This window comes from Homo sapiens, chromosome 1 (assembly GCF_000001405.40).
Source record: "Homo sapiens chromosome 1, GRCh38.p14 Primary Assembly".
Taxonomy (NCBI): Eukaryota; Metazoa; Chordata; class Mammalia; order Primates; family Hominidae; genus Homo; species Homo sapiens.
In genome coordinates this window covers 202,896,404-202,911,528 of record NC_000001.11, presented here as the reverse complement: position 1 = coordinate 202,911,528, position 15,125 = coordinate 202,896,404, and the positions used below count along the sequence as shown (strand labels likewise).

Genomic DNA, 15,125 nt, shown 5'->3' with positions numbered 1-15,125 from the left:
AAACGAAGGCCAATACGTGACTGGTGATTTATTAGGTACTATCTATCTTAGAGAGAGAGAGAGAGAGAGAGATACATATATATATATGTGTGTGTGTATATATATATATTTTTTTTTTAACCCAAATTGACTATAATTCTTTTCCTGGTCTGTTAGCTGTGTCTGAAAAAAATTGTTTTCCCAAGAGCCTAGCTATTTCTGGAAGATGGGAAATAATGGTGGTGGGCAATGGGAAGCAGGAAGGAAAAAGTGAACGTGGTTACGTTTTGAGATGGTGAGCTAATTGGAAAAGTAGGATCCACGGTGTGTAATTATACATTTACAGGTGGATTCTGAAGAGCCAGTCTTTGAGGCTGTCATCAACTGGGTGAAGCATGCCAAGAAAGAGCGGGAAGAATCCTTGCCTAACCTGCTACAGTATGTGCGGATGCCCCTACTAACCCCCAGGTATATCACAGATGTAATAGATGCTGAGGTAAGTAGTGCAACACTCTCAGGATCCAAAACCTTGACGGACTCTTACCTTAGTGTTATGTATTCAAAATTGAGTATTTTAATGTAGGCACAGAGTCTCCTGTTTTGCCTCTCTAGGAATGCCAGTGAGAGTGGTGCTGGGTAGTCCCCAAGCATATTTCTAAGAAAAGCGAATTTCTTGGCAAGTCAGGCTCTTGACACAAATGAAAATCTGTGGTTCAATTTTGTGTTTTGCTGTCTGTTTTACATGCCTCTGAGTGTTTTATATAAACACTTGATAATAAACTTTGTCCCCTTCTCCATTAAACATAAATTGTTCCAAATTGCCCTTATGCCACACTTAGCAAGCCTCTTCATTTTTGACTTCTGGTAAAGCCAGCATGAAAGGAGTTTGATGCATTTTAGTGTCAACTTTAATCATATCATGTTGAGTTTATTTATAAAAGTGTTTCTCCAACTTAAGTTCTCTGTGATACTTTTTCATAATTTTTACCATATATACCACCTGTGTTGCCTGGACCATACTTCGAGGGAGCATTGATTTATAATATGTAGGTAACCCAGCAAGAAGAGTTCCTCTTGCTGGCCCAGCCCTAGATCTCTTAGTTAACTACAAACAGTTTTTCAGTTGTTCACATTAGAAAAGTTGCAGCATGGTCAGTGTCACATCTCAAACTCTTTTTCTCCTGTTTGTGATTTCTGTCTTTCTTACAACCAATTCACATATCCCTTGTGTCTAGTTCTTTACATTGTGTTTAGGAGCACAGACTCTGGAACCAGACTCGGGCCTGAAATCCCAAATTCACCACTTACTCTGTGAACTTAATATGTCTTAATATATTTGTGCCTTAGCTTTCTTATGTGTAAAACAGGGATGATAATAGTACGTTCCTCATAGGTTCTTGTTAGCATTGAGTAAGTTACTATGTGAAAACTTTTAAAACCAAGTCTTTGTACATAAGTGTTTACTACTATTTATTGTTTGTTTTCCTTTCCAGTTCGACTAAGAACTTCTTGGGTCAGGTTAATAGAGGTGCCATTTAATTAGAGCTGTGTCCTTTAGGGTCCCAACAGGAAACAGATGCTATACTCAAAACAGGACAATTTTAGAAGAGTTTTTTTTAATAAAGAAGCTGTTTACAAAGGCGCAAGTTCAGAGAAACAACAAAAGACAGTGAAATAACCTGGATCTAGGACATAAGCTATTAACAACCCCTAAGCCTGAAGGGACAAGGTTGAGGAGTGGTTACTAGAACCTTAAAGGAAAGAGAATCGTGTAGAGTCACTGCCTTGAGAGAAACCTTGACCTTTGGTTGGGCTGATCCCAACCAGAAGCTAGAAGGCATAGGAAGCCCTATTGACACAGTTCATATAGGCCAGTCTTCTGAGCCAGAGAGCAGAGTGGAAAAAGGTACAGAGTGAGTTGGGAGGCAAATGAAAGATGTCCAGTACAGAGCTGTCAGAAATAGACAATGGTAATTACAACAGGACTGTGAACCTTGGGGGAGATATTTCAGACAAAATATGATTCTTCCTGTCACCCAGAAAATAACAGAATCTTTTTGGTTTTCCCCTTAAAATTCTTATTAGTTATTATGTACTTGTGTTTGCATAATCCCTGGAAGGGCATCCAAACTATGTAAAAATAGTTAAATGTAAGCGCTGCGATAGATGGGAAATACTGCTCAACATATCTGTTTATATCATTTGATTTTTGATCCATCTAGTATGTTATCTATTTTTCAAGTAAATTTTAAAAATCATTTCTGGAAACCGAGAGCATGGTTACTACCAGCAATACTCCTGGAATCACAGGGCTTTGCAAACTGGTTTTCTGTAGTCAGAAGTTAATTATTTGCATGTGCTCTTTGTACTCTTATAGTATTACAGGTATCCCCAGTGCCTAACTCTGCTGTCTGCTATATTTCAGCCTTTCATCCGCTGTAGTTTACAATGCAGGGATCTGGTTGATGAAGCAAAGAAGTTTCATCTGAGGCCTGAACTTCGGAGTCAGATGCAGGGACCCAGGACAAGGGCTCGCCTAGGTAAGCTGGTATCTCGGCAGAATGAGGGGATGCTTTTCAACTACTTCTTGCAGGTGACAACATAGTTGAAAATAATACTCTATAAGAAGTACAGACACCTCGTTTCAGACCTTTTCTTCTATCATCTCAGACAAGTCACTTTACCACTCTAAGCTTTCTTTCCTATAAATCAAGGATGTCTTCTCTATCTACTTCACATAATTATTTGGAAATTAAATGAGATAAAATATAAAAGCACTTTATACATTGTCAGGCATTACATAATATGTTACAATTTTTTGTCAATATTATTTAGATTCTGTGAATTAGAGATAATTTTAGTGCCACATAATGGCAGGTAAGTAGTATATGCTTCCACCCACCTCTTCACTTCCCCTTATGTGGTTTTTCCATTCCGGAATGAAGAGAGGAAGAAAAGGAGCCCAGTGTGGTAGAAAGTACATGGGTTTTGGCAGTTACTGTTGGTGCAGGTACCAGTTTACCTCGTACTAGATTTATTAACTTGGGCAGGAACCTTAACCTCTGTGTGCTTCAGTTGCCTCATCTGTAAATGGAATCATCGTAGCACCTGCCTGTAACATTGTTATGAAGAGTAAATAAAGTTATTTATGTAAAGCCTTAAAACACTTCTTGGCACATAATAACTATGTGTATTAGCTATTATCTTAGCAAATAGACCTAGGTTCAAATCCAAGCCCCAGCAATGACTGGTTGGGCAAGGTATCAATTTATCTGAGCCTGTATGTCTACCACTAAGATGAGAGTTAGTGTCTTATCTCAGTGTTGGGAGGATTGAATGAGATAATGTATATAAGATACCTAACACTATAGCTGGCACACACTAAATACTCAGATATCACCATACTTTCCACTTCCTATTCTCTTTGCTTCACTGTCCAAAAGCCTAGGTGTATAGTGTATAAAAACATTTTATAAGTTATGAATTACTCTATATGTATGGGGTGGTATTTTGTTTTATTGTTTCCTTTTATCTGACTGAGGACTCATGATGCGTGCTAAGGTGTTAGTTGATAATTAAGCTGCTCACTGATGGGTTTAGGTAGAATGGTGATTTATCCGCTATATTTTATTTTTTTTAATAGAAATGAGGTCTCACTATGTTGCCCAGGGTGGAGTGCAGTGGCGTGATCTCGGTTCACTGCAGCCTTAGCCTCCTGGACTCAAGCAGTCTTCCCACCTCAGCCTCCCAAGTAGCTGGGACCGCAGGCACGTGCCACCATGCCTGGCTAATTTTTATATTTTTTTGTAGAGACAGAGCCTTCCTTTGTTGCCCAGGCTGGGTCTTGAACTCCTGGACTCAAGCAGTTCACCTGCCTTGGCCTCCCAAAGTGCTGGGATTACAGGCCTCCCATATATATATATATAATTTTTTTCCTTTTTTTTTTTTTTTTAAGACAGAGTCTTGCTCTGTCACCCAGACTGGAGTGCAGTGGTGCAATCTTGGCTCACTACAACCTCTCCCAGGTTCAAGCAATTCTTGTGCCTCAGACTCCCGAGTAGCTGGGACAACAGGCGACTGCCACCATCCCTGGCTAATTTTTGTATTTTTGGTAGAGACAGGGTTTCTCCATGTTGACCAGGCTGGTCTCTAACTCCTGGCTGCAATTGATCCACCCACCTTGGCCTCCCAAAGTGCTGGGATTACAGGCATGAGCCACCATGCCTGGCTCCCTCTCCTATATTTTTTAATGGCATAAGTACTGCATGTTCAATGTAGAACTTGTAGAAATACAGAGAAGCAAAAAATAAATAAAAATCATCCATAATCTTACCACTCAAAGATACTGCATTTTTTTAAAAAGAGAACTTTTAGATAGGGCATTGTAGATGGTATTTTCTACTACTGCAAGATGACAAAATGTGATCTGTGTTTCATATGCTTTATACACAGATACATATCAACACAAGATAGATTGAAGGACTGAATGGTGAAAAACTATGAGAATATTAGAAGAAATTATAGGAAAATATTTGTATACCTTCTGGATGGAAGTCTTTTTTTTCTTTTTTGTAAAATATATGTAACAGGCCGGGCACGGTGTCTCACACCTGTAATCCCAGCACTTTGGGAGGCCAAGGTGGGCAGATCACTTGAGGTCAGTAGTTCGAGACCAGCCTGGCCAACATGGTGAAACCCCATGTCTACTAAAAATACAAAAATTAGCTGAGTGTGGTGGTGCACACCTGTAATCCCAGCTACTCTGGAGGCTGAGGCAGGAGAATCGCTTGAACCCGGGAGGCGGAGGTTGCAGTGAGCCAAGATTGCACCATTGTACTCCAGCCTGGGCGACAGAGTGAGACTCCATCTCAAAAATAAATAAATTAATTAAATAAAATATATTTAGCATAAAATTTACCATCTTAACCATTTTTACATGTACAGTTGACTCATGTTAAATACATTGTTATACAATCAATCTCTGTAACTCTTTTTGTCTTAACAAGACTGAAACTCTGTACCCATTAAACAATAAACTCCCAATTTTGCCTTTCCTCCCAGGGTAGGAACTTTTTTTTTTTTTTTTTTTTTTTTGAGACGAAGCGTTGCTCTTGTTGCCCAGGCTGGAGTGCAGTGGCATAATCTTTGCTCACTGCAACCTCTGTCTCCTGGGTTCAAGCGATTCTCCTGCCTCAGCCTCCCAAGTAGCTGGGATTACAGGTGTGTGCCACCACGCCTGGCTAATTTTTTGTATTTTTTAGTAGAGACGGGGTTTCACCACGTTGGCCAGGCTGGTCTCGGACTCCTGACGTCAGGTGATCCGCCCACCTCAGCCTCCTAAAGTGCTGGGATTACGGGCATGAGCCACCGCGCCTGGCCATTACTTTTGTTTTTTAAAAAATAATTATTATTTTTAAAAATTGGGTTGGGTGGCCGGGCGCGGTGGCTCATGCCCGTAATCCCAGCACTTTGGGAGGCCGAGGCGGGTGGATCACGAGGTCAGGAGATCGAGACCATCCAGGCTAACACGGTGAAACCCCGTATCTACTAAAAATACAAAAAAAAAAAAAAAAAAAAAAAAGCCAGGTGTGGTGGCGGGCACCTGTAGTTCAAGCTACTCAGGAGGCTGAGGCAGGAGAATGGCGTGAACCCAGGAGATGGAGCCTGCAGTAAGCTGAGATCACGCCACTGCACTCCAGCCTGGGCGACAGAGTGAGACTCTGTCTAAAAAAAAATCGGGTTGGGTATCCCTAATCTGAAAATCTTGAAATTCAAAATGCTCCAAGATCTAAAACTTTGAGTGCCAACATAATGCTCAAAGGAAATGCTCATTGAAGCATTTTGGATTTGGGGTTTCTGAATTAGGGATGCGCAAATAGTTGTGCAAAGAAATAATGCAGATATTACAAAAATCCAAAAGTGTCTGAAATCTGTAGCGCTTCTTGTCGTAAGCATTTCAGATAAGGGTTACTCAACCTATACCATGAAAGCCAGTGATGTAGTGGAAAGAACCTGGCACTAGGAGATAAGACATTTTGCTTACTTTGATTTTTACTCCAATTTCCGACACTCACTCTAGTAACTTGCTGTTTGGACAAGTCCTTTAACTTCTCTGGGTTACCAGTTCTTTATATCAACAGAGTTAATGTTCAGTCACTAAGGTACTTTCCAACACAGAAAAATGTTTCCTTTTTGCATGATAGCACTCATTATTTGCTTATTAAATTGAACTAAAAGCTAATGAAAATTTTTGTGAATCAGTAAACCCAGAAGATTCTTTGGAGGTACATTTCTTGCATATCTCTGAACAGGCAGCAGAAGGGGCTCCTGCTTGGTTAGAGAACTTGCTTATTGCCCTGACCTTAAGGGATTAAACTATAAATCTATATATCTTCATAGTCTTGAGGTTATTTTTCAGAAGTTCTAGAAGGGAAATGCTGAAGCAGTTTCCAATTAGATTCTTAGTATCGCTTTGTCAGTGCCTTAGCAGGTAGATTGTTCTTACCATCATGTCCTCTACCCATCTCTATGCATATTGGCTGCTAAACCAGCTACCAGGATAATGACTCTTCTGCATACAGCAGAAGGAAATTAAATTGACAGCCAAGTTAAAATAGCCTGCCAAATAAGGGATTTTTAGTTATTAACCTTACCCATTACTGTCTCAAAGAAGATATAATGGAAATTACTTTTCTAATTTGTGGCTGTCTCCTTTTTTGAACTAAAGATCAGTGCAAATGGAAATGTGAGTCTCTGAACCCTGTTATTTTAGCAGTCCTGCATCTGCCTTATTTCTCTAACAACGTGTCACAGCACACACACACTCCCCTTCCCCTCTTTCTAAAAATAATGACCATGCCACTGCCAGGTTCTTCAGTTTTAGAAATGTGCTTTTTCACACTGTTCTTGTAAGATGTCCTAGACAAGCTTTTCTCATTAAAAAGATAAAAATCTCACTTAACAAGTACTCCATCATTGGCAGAGAACAAACAGGCTTCTTTCAGGTTGACTCTTTCACTAGCTTTTTTTTACACGAGTCAGATTGTTTGAGTATTGGTCTCCAACTTAGGGTTAAAACATTAAAACCTTAGGAGTTCTTCTGGGGAAGAAGGACTTTCTAGGCACAAAATAGTGGAAGAAATGACAAAGAATAAAAACATATTTGAATAAATAAAAAAATCATATACAAAATTATGATAAATTAGGAACATAGGTTTGGAACAACCCTTTAAAGGGTTAAAGGGTTGGCCTGGCAGGGTGCCTTACGCCTGTAATCCCAGCGCTTTGGGAGGCTGAGGCAGGTGGATCACCTGAGATCGGGAGTTTGAGACCAGCCTGACCAACATGGAGAAATCCTGTCTCTACTAAAAATACAAAATTAGCCGGGCTTGGTGGCACATGCCTGTAATCCCAGCTACTCGGGAAATTGCTTGAACCTGGGAGGTGGAGATTGTGGTGAACCAAGATCGTGCCATTGCACTCCAGCCTGGGCAACAAGAGCAAAACTCCATCTCATAGATAGATAGATAGATAAATAGATAGATAGATAGATAGATACATAGATAGATAGATAAAGGGTTAAAGGGTTAAAACCATTTGTGTGTAAAGAGCTCATAAGAATGCATGAGACAGGGCCAAGAGCAGTGGCTCACACCTGTAATCCCAGCACTTTGAGAGGCTGAGGCAGGCGATGGAGCCCAGGAATTCGAGACCAGCCTGGCCAACAGGATGAAACCCTGTCTCTACTAAAAGTATAAAAATTAGCCAGGCATGGTGACGCATGCCTGTAATCCCAGCTATTGGGGAGGTTGAGGCAGGAGAATCATTTTAGCCCAGGAGGCAGAGGTTGCAGTGAGCCAAGATCACACCACTGCACTCCAGCCTGGGCCACAGAGCAAGACGCCGTTTCAAAAAAAAAAAGAAAAGAAAAAAATTAGTGGTCCCAGCTACTAGGGAAGCTGAAGTGGGAGGCTAGGAGGATGCTTGAGCCCAGGAGGTCGAGGCTGAGGCTGCAGTGAACCATAATTGCACCAGTGCACTCTAGCCTGGGCAGCAGAGCAAGACCTTGTCTCAAAAAAGAAAAAAAAAACAAGAATGCATGAGAGAAACAATAAAGATTTGAGTGTACAGTTCGCAGAAGGGCAAGTAAAGCTGGCTACTAGATACAAGGGAGGGAGTTCAACCTAATTAATAATAGGGTCTTATTAGTTATAAAGAATTAAACATAATTTTTTGCCTACCAGAGTGTCAGAGATTTAAAAACTATCCAGTGCCTCAGAAAGTAGAATGAGTTGGCACCTTTATAGTGTTGGTGGGAGTGTAATTGGTAACAGCTTCAAAAAGTCACCTTATGTCTCAAAGTAATTTTTTTTTTTTTTTTTTTTTTTTTTGAGACAAGGTCTCACTCTGGCTCCTAGGCTAGAGTGCAGTGGCATGATCTTGGTTCACTGAAACTTCACTTTCTGGGCTCAAGCAATCCTCCCACCTCAGCCTCCTCAGTAGCTGGGACTACAGGCGTATGCCACCATGGTGATCTATTTCATTTGTTTGTTTGTTTTGATACAAGGTCTCACTGTGTCACTATAGTGCAATGGCATGATTTTGGCTCACTGCAGCGTCCACTTCCTGGACTCAAGTGATCCTCCCACCTCAGCCTCCCAGGTAGCTGGGACTTGGGACTACAGGTGTGCACCACCAGACCTGGCTAATTTTTTGTATTTTTAGTAGAGACAGGGTTTTGCCATGCTGCTCAGGCTGGTCTTGATCTCCTGGGTTCATGTGATCTGCCTGCTTTGGCCTCCCAAAGTGCTAGGGTTACAGGTGTGAGCCACCATGCCTGGCTCAAAAAATTTTTTTCTAATTCAGGTTCATTACTCAGCATTCTTCCCATTTCTTTAAGAAAACAACCAGGAAAAGTTTCATATTCAGGATATTTATCACAGGGTTATTTATGTGATTGTTTATAACCCAAAATTATAAACCCTGAAATGCCTAAGAATATTATAACCATGTACTAAAAGAGTTATTCATATATTTGGAAAATGAAAAACATCAGGATACAATATAATATGGTCACATTTGTAGGTTTTTTTGTTTGTTTGTTTTTGGTGTTTTTTTTTTTGGACGGAGTCTCGCTCTGTTACCCAGGCTGGAGGGCAATGGTGTGATCTCGGCTCACTGCAGTCTCCACTTCCCAAGTTCAAGCGATTCTCCTGCCTCAGCCTCCCGAGTAGCTGAGATTACAGGCATGTGCTACCATGTCTGGCTGATTTTTGTATTTTCACTAGAGATGGGGTTTCACCATGTTGGCCAGGCTGGTCTCGAACTCCTGACCTCGTGATCCACTCATCTCAGCCTCCCAAAGTGCTGGGATTACAGGCGCTAGCCACTGTGCCCGGCCCCCATTTGTGTTTTATAAATGTGCAGAAACAAGGCTGGAAGGAAATTATGTTACATTTTGGTGTGTCTTTGTATTGTGGAACTATGGGTAATTTTTTTTTCATAATACCTGTCTGTATTTTCCAAGTTTTTTAGCAGTAAAAATGTATATTATATGTTTTATAATCACAAGGAAAATACTTTTCAATTCTTTTCAACAGGGAGGGGTAATACGTGAGTGGGGATGGTGATTATACTAGTCCTTGAGTTATTTTTAAATTTTCTAAAAGAAAATCATTTTTGTGCTAGAAAAAGCTGAACAGGCTAAATAAAGACTTCAGATTTAACTAAAATTATATCCATTCAGTGTGAAACACTGTTGCTCTCATAGTTATCAAAAGCTCTGTTGGCAGTTGCGGGGAAGTTAATTACTTAAACTCACTTTGGTAGACAGTCTGTCAAAACACAGGATCTGTCGGGAAAAATAATGAAGAGAGTCCTTCACAGCAAAGAAGTTTGGGAATCAGTGATCGAAGGATCCCAGCCATTTAGAGCCATAAAACCCCTGAGTGGCTGGTACAGTGGCTCATGTCTGTAATCCCAGCACTTTGGGAGGCCGAAGCAGAAGCATCGCTTGAGTTCAGGAGTTAGAGACCAGCCTGAGCAACATAGTGAGACCTCCTCTCTTTAAAAAATTAAAAAAAAAAAAAAAAGGTAGCTGGGTTTGGTGGCACACACTGTGCTCCCAGCTGCTCAGGAGGCTGAGGTAGGAGGATTGCTTGAGCCTGGGAGGTAGGAGGATTGCTTGAGCCTGGGAGGTCGATGCTGTGGTGAGCTGAGATTGTGCCACTGCACTCCAGCCTAGGTGACAGAGGAAGGCCTTGTCTTTTAAACAGAACAAAACAAACTCCTTTATACATCACACCAACACCTCTTACGAAGTTCCACTGTAGACATATAGTTACCAGAGTGTTTATTGGGAAAATTTCAGCCAACAGGAAGTACTGTCAGTTATCTGTGTTTTTAATATAATCTATTTCCTTTCTACTTCTTTTCTCCCACCCTTCAAAAGGTGCCTGAATGAAATCATATCAAGAAAGAGAGGGGTTTTTTCTTTATTTTATTTTTGAGACAGTCTTGCTTTGTCACCCAGGCTGGAGTGTAGCGGCATGATCTCGGCTCACTGCAACCTCCGCCTCCCAGGTTCAAGTGATTCTCCTGCCTCAGCCTCCGGAGTAGCTGGGACTACAAAATGCACACCACCACACCTGGCTAATTTTTGTGTTTGTATTTGTGTTTAATTTTTTTGAGACAGAGTCTTGCTCTGTCACCTAGGCTGGAGTGCAGTGGTGCGATCTCTGCTCACTGCAACCTGCATCTCCCAGGTTCAAGCGATTCTCGTGCCTCACCCTCCCAAGTAGCTGGGACTACAGGTGTGTACCACCACACCTGGCTAATTTTTGTATTATTAGTAGAGATGGGGTTTCACCATGTTGGCCAGGCTGGCCTTGAACTCCTGACCTCAAGTGATCCACCCGCCTCGGCCTCCCAAAGTGCTGTGATTACAGGCGTGAGCCACCACGCCCAGCCTTCTTTATTTTATGTTACTTTATTTTATTTTTTGAGACAAGTTCTCACTCTGTTCCCCAGGCTGGAGTGCAGGAACACGACCTTGTTCACTGCAGCCTTAACCTCCTGGACTTAAGTGATCCTCCCATGTCAGCCTCAGGAGTAGCTGGGACTACAGGCATTTGCCATCACACCTGGCTATTTTTTTTTATTATTTTTTTCTAGATATGGGAGTCTCACCATGTTACCCAAAGTGGCCTCGAACCCCTGGGCGCAAGGAATCTGCCCACTTTGGCCTCCCAAAGTGCTAGGATTATAGTCATGAGCCACTGTGCCTGACTTCTTTAGATATATATATTTATTTTTGGGGGGTTGGGGGGTGGGGCAGGGAGTTATATAAAGCAACAGAAATAAGAGCTGAAAAATCAATAGAAAACTTTAAAATTTGCATAGCACAGGAAGTACCTCTTGGTTGGTGTGGGAATTTTTATTCATACATACATCATCTGCTGGCATATTCATCTACATGGGAAATGTGTTTGGATAGAAGGATCACACTTACCTTGTCTATTCAAGTCAGGAAGAAAAGAGGTGGAGTAAGAAAAAGGAATAGGTAGGGAAATAGTGTTCCCAAAGAAGAAACAAATAACTTGTGGTCCTAGCTTCTCCCAACTTGAAGTAATTTTAGGCAGACATAAAATTACTTCAATCACTAAAGAACCCTTCATTCTTATGCTTTGATTTTTTTATTTATTATTATTATTTTTTTTTTTTTTTTTTGAGATGGAGTCTTACTCTGTTGCCTAGTCTGGAGTGCAGTGGTGCAATCTCGGCTCACTGCAACCTCTTCCTCAGTTCAAGTGATTCTCCCGCCTCAGCCTCCCAAGTAGCTGAGACTACAGGTGCGCATCACTGCACCCGGCTAATTTTTGTATTTTTAGTAGAGACGGGGTTTTGCCATGTTAGACAGGCTGGTCTTGAATTCCTGACCTCAGACAATTTACCTGCTTTGGCCTCCCAAAGTGCTAGGATTACAGGCATGAGCCACACCTGGCCATGCTTTGATTTTCGAAGGAGCTGACTCCTGAGACCTACTTGCTGGCTCACTTTGGAGAGGGTCCACTTTATTTGGCAAGTACATAAGACAAGTGCCCTCTTAGAAAAACTCCGTGGTTTATGTGTGAGTGTATATGTTTTATTAAGAAAAATCTCAAACATAAAAATAGTAATATAATGATCCCCCATACCCATCACTCAATTTTAACAATTATCAACACATAGCTTTTTCTTTGAGATGGAGTTTTGCCTTATTGCCCAGGCTGGAGTGTAGTGGCGCTATCTCAGCTCACTACAACCTCCACTTCCTGGGTTTAAGCATTCTCATGCCTGAGCCACCCGAGTAGTTGGGATTTCAGGTGTGCGCCACCACACTCAGCTAATTTTTGTATTTTTAGTAGAGACGGGGTTTTGCCTTGTTGGCTAGGCTGGTCTCAAACTCCTTACCTCAAGTGATCTGCCAGCCTTGGCCTCCCAAAGTGTTGGGATTACAGGCATGAGCCACTGCACCCAGGCTATTTTGAAGCAAATTCCAGACTGGATATTATTCCATGCCTATGTGTCATACTTCCACGTGTGTCTCTAAAAGATAAGGAAAAAAAATTCTGCCACATCTAGAATGCCATTATCACTGTTTAAAATCACACAATTCCTTATTCTCACGTGTTTGTGTAATTTTTTTTCCATAATTTTTTGTTGTTTGTTTTTGAGTACTTATGTTGTTCAAATCAGAATCCAGACAAAGTCCACACGTTGCTCGTGATTTCATGTCTCTTTTCAGTCTCGTTTTAATCCAAAAGTTTCCATCCTGTTTTGGTTTTTCCCAGCCAGTTTATTTCTTGAAGAAGCCAAGCTGTTCGACCTGTAGAATTTCCCACATTCTAGACTCTGCTGTTGCATCTTTGTAGTGTCATTTAACATGTTCTTCTCCCATGTATTGCCTGTAAACTAGTGGTTGGATTAGAGGCTTGTTAAGAGTCAGGCTCAGTTTTTTGGAAAAAAGACGAGGTGGTAGTGTGGTCCTTCCTATTCATCACCATTAGGAAGCACTCAATGTCTCATAGTAATATATTGGCTTTTGAAATAATGATTCTAGCCCAGCAATTGATGATAATTGTCAAATCCATTACTTCATTAGGGGTTTATCTGTGTTTCCTGTCAGCTTCAAGGTACTACATTTGCTCTTTCAAGTCCAGGTTACTCATAAGATCACTTTGGTCTCCTAGATGCTTCCTAGTGATTGAATTTTCCAAAGCTCCAGCTAACTATTCTCTCCATGAGTTCTAATGGAGCACATGCACAGGGGATTTTCTCAAAGAGACTTTGCTCTTTGAAAAAAGCCAAGGCAGGTGCTGTGGCTCATTCCTGTAATCCCAGCTACTTGGGAGGCTAAGGCAGGAGTATCGCTTGAGGCCGGGAGTTTGAGACCAGCCTGGGCAATATAGCAAGACCCTGTCTCCAAAAGCCAAGGTAGGAAATATTTTATCAGAGTAAGGCGTTAGGGGAAGGGGAAGATATAAAGGCTGTCAGAATAGCTTCTTTGGGAAAATAGAGAAAAAGACTTTTCCTTTAAAACTCTAGTCTTTTGTTGCCTGGTGGTTTTGATGAATTGGCAGGGAATGTGATCATATAGTTGACTAAATTGGAGAAGGAAGTGTTCATGGAAAAGAGATTTTAGGCCAGGCACAGTGACTCATTCCTGTAATCCCAGCACTTTGGGAGGCTGAGGCAGGAGAATCACTTTAGGCTAGGAGTTTGAGATCAGCCTGGGCAATATAGCGAGACCCTTTCTCAATTCAGAAAAAGAAAAAGAGATTTTAAATCCATCACTTGGATCCTAAGTTTCAACATGTAGCTTTTTTTGTGACAAGGTTAGGAGAGTTCTTTCCCCATTACAACAAAAAACCTCCCAATTTGAGTTTTTCAGGCTAAGTGCAGAGAGTGCCTTTAGGCTCTCACCTGCACTTAAGACCTCAAGGATTATGTCAGCCAGTCATCTCAATAGGTTGAAATGGTGCAGTGTTGCCGGGCACAGTGACTCACACCTGTAATCCCAGCACTTTGGGAGGTCGAGGCTGGCGGATCACTTGAGGTTGGGAGTTCGGGACCAGCCTGACCAACCCCATCTCTACTAAAAATACAAAATTAGCTGGGCGTGGTGGCACAGCCTGTAATCCCAGCTACTCGGGAGGCTGAGGCAGGAGAATCACTTGAGCCCAGGAGGCAGAGGTTGTGGTGAGCCGAGATCATGGAATTGCATTCTAGCCTGGTCAACAAGAGCGAAACTCTGTCTCCAAAAAAAAAAAAAAAAAAAAAAAGAAAAAGAAATGGTGCAGTGTCATGTTGAAGTTTGCTTTCTAGAGTTTTAATGTCCAGAAATTTAAGTTTCAGAGACTCGAGAGCTACAGCCTCAAGGAAAAATAACTCCCCATTCGACAGCCTTATGATTATCTCCCATTTCGGATTGCATCCCTCAGCCACATAAAACAAGACATCCTAGAACTGTTTCTGTTGACACTTCCCTGTGACTAGTTACCCATCCAGGGATGCTGAACTAACCCATCTTTTTTCTGCCTTTGTCTTCAGGAGCCAATGAAGTGCTTTTGGTGGTTGGGGGCTTTGGAAGCCAGCAGTCTCCCATTGATGTGGTAGAGAAATATGACCCCAAGACTCAGGAGTGGAGCTTTTTGCCAGTAAATAATGGTGAAACCATTCGTTGGGAGGGATGTTAAATGTCCTCAGTCTCTGCCTCCAGATCATAGCTAATCCAGCCTTAAGAGTAGAAAAGCCTAATAACAGGATGTTTCTTACAACAGTCTTGTGCATATAGTAGGTACTTACTTAACAGTTTTTGACTGTTTAGATTAGAAGATTATGCCTTAGAAATGTCAGTGGCCCTGTGTCAAGGTAAACTCAGATGGCCACCACTAGTTAGGTGCCTTTCTAAGCTGTCTGTATAATTCCTAGCACATTTCATTGGTCGTGCTGTGTTAAACTGAACTGAATGTTAAATTGTGTTGAATTGAACCCAGTGTTCAGTTGAGCTCAGAAGTTTGGGCTGGGCGTGGTAGCTCACACCTATAATCCCAGCCCTTTGGGAGGCTGAGATGGGAGGATCTCTTGAGGCCAGGAGTTCAAGACCA

General features: G+C 41.5%; 1 protein-coding gene across 9 annotated transcripts in view; it reads left to right on the top strand.

Annotated features, from left to right (window-relative positions):
• KLHL12 (kelch like family member 12) overlaps positions 1-15,125 on the top strand; it is a 37,480-nt gene that overhangs the window by 17,071 nt on the left and 5,284 nt on the right. For 5 of the 9 annotated variants that reach the window (NM_001303051.2, XM_011509836.3, XM_011509835.3 and 2 more), the window contains 3 exons: positions 326-475; positions 2,405-2,519; positions 14,569-14,675. In NM_001303051.2, coding sequence (NP_001289980.1) covers positions 326-475; positions 2,405-2,519; positions 14,569-14,675 — 372 coding nt within the window. The remainder of the gene's footprint in view (positions 1-325; positions 476-2,404; positions 2,520-14,568; positions 14,676-15,125) is intronic. The other 4 variants (XM_047426918.1, XM_011509837.3, XM_047426919.1 and 1 more) reach the window with 1 other exon arrangement.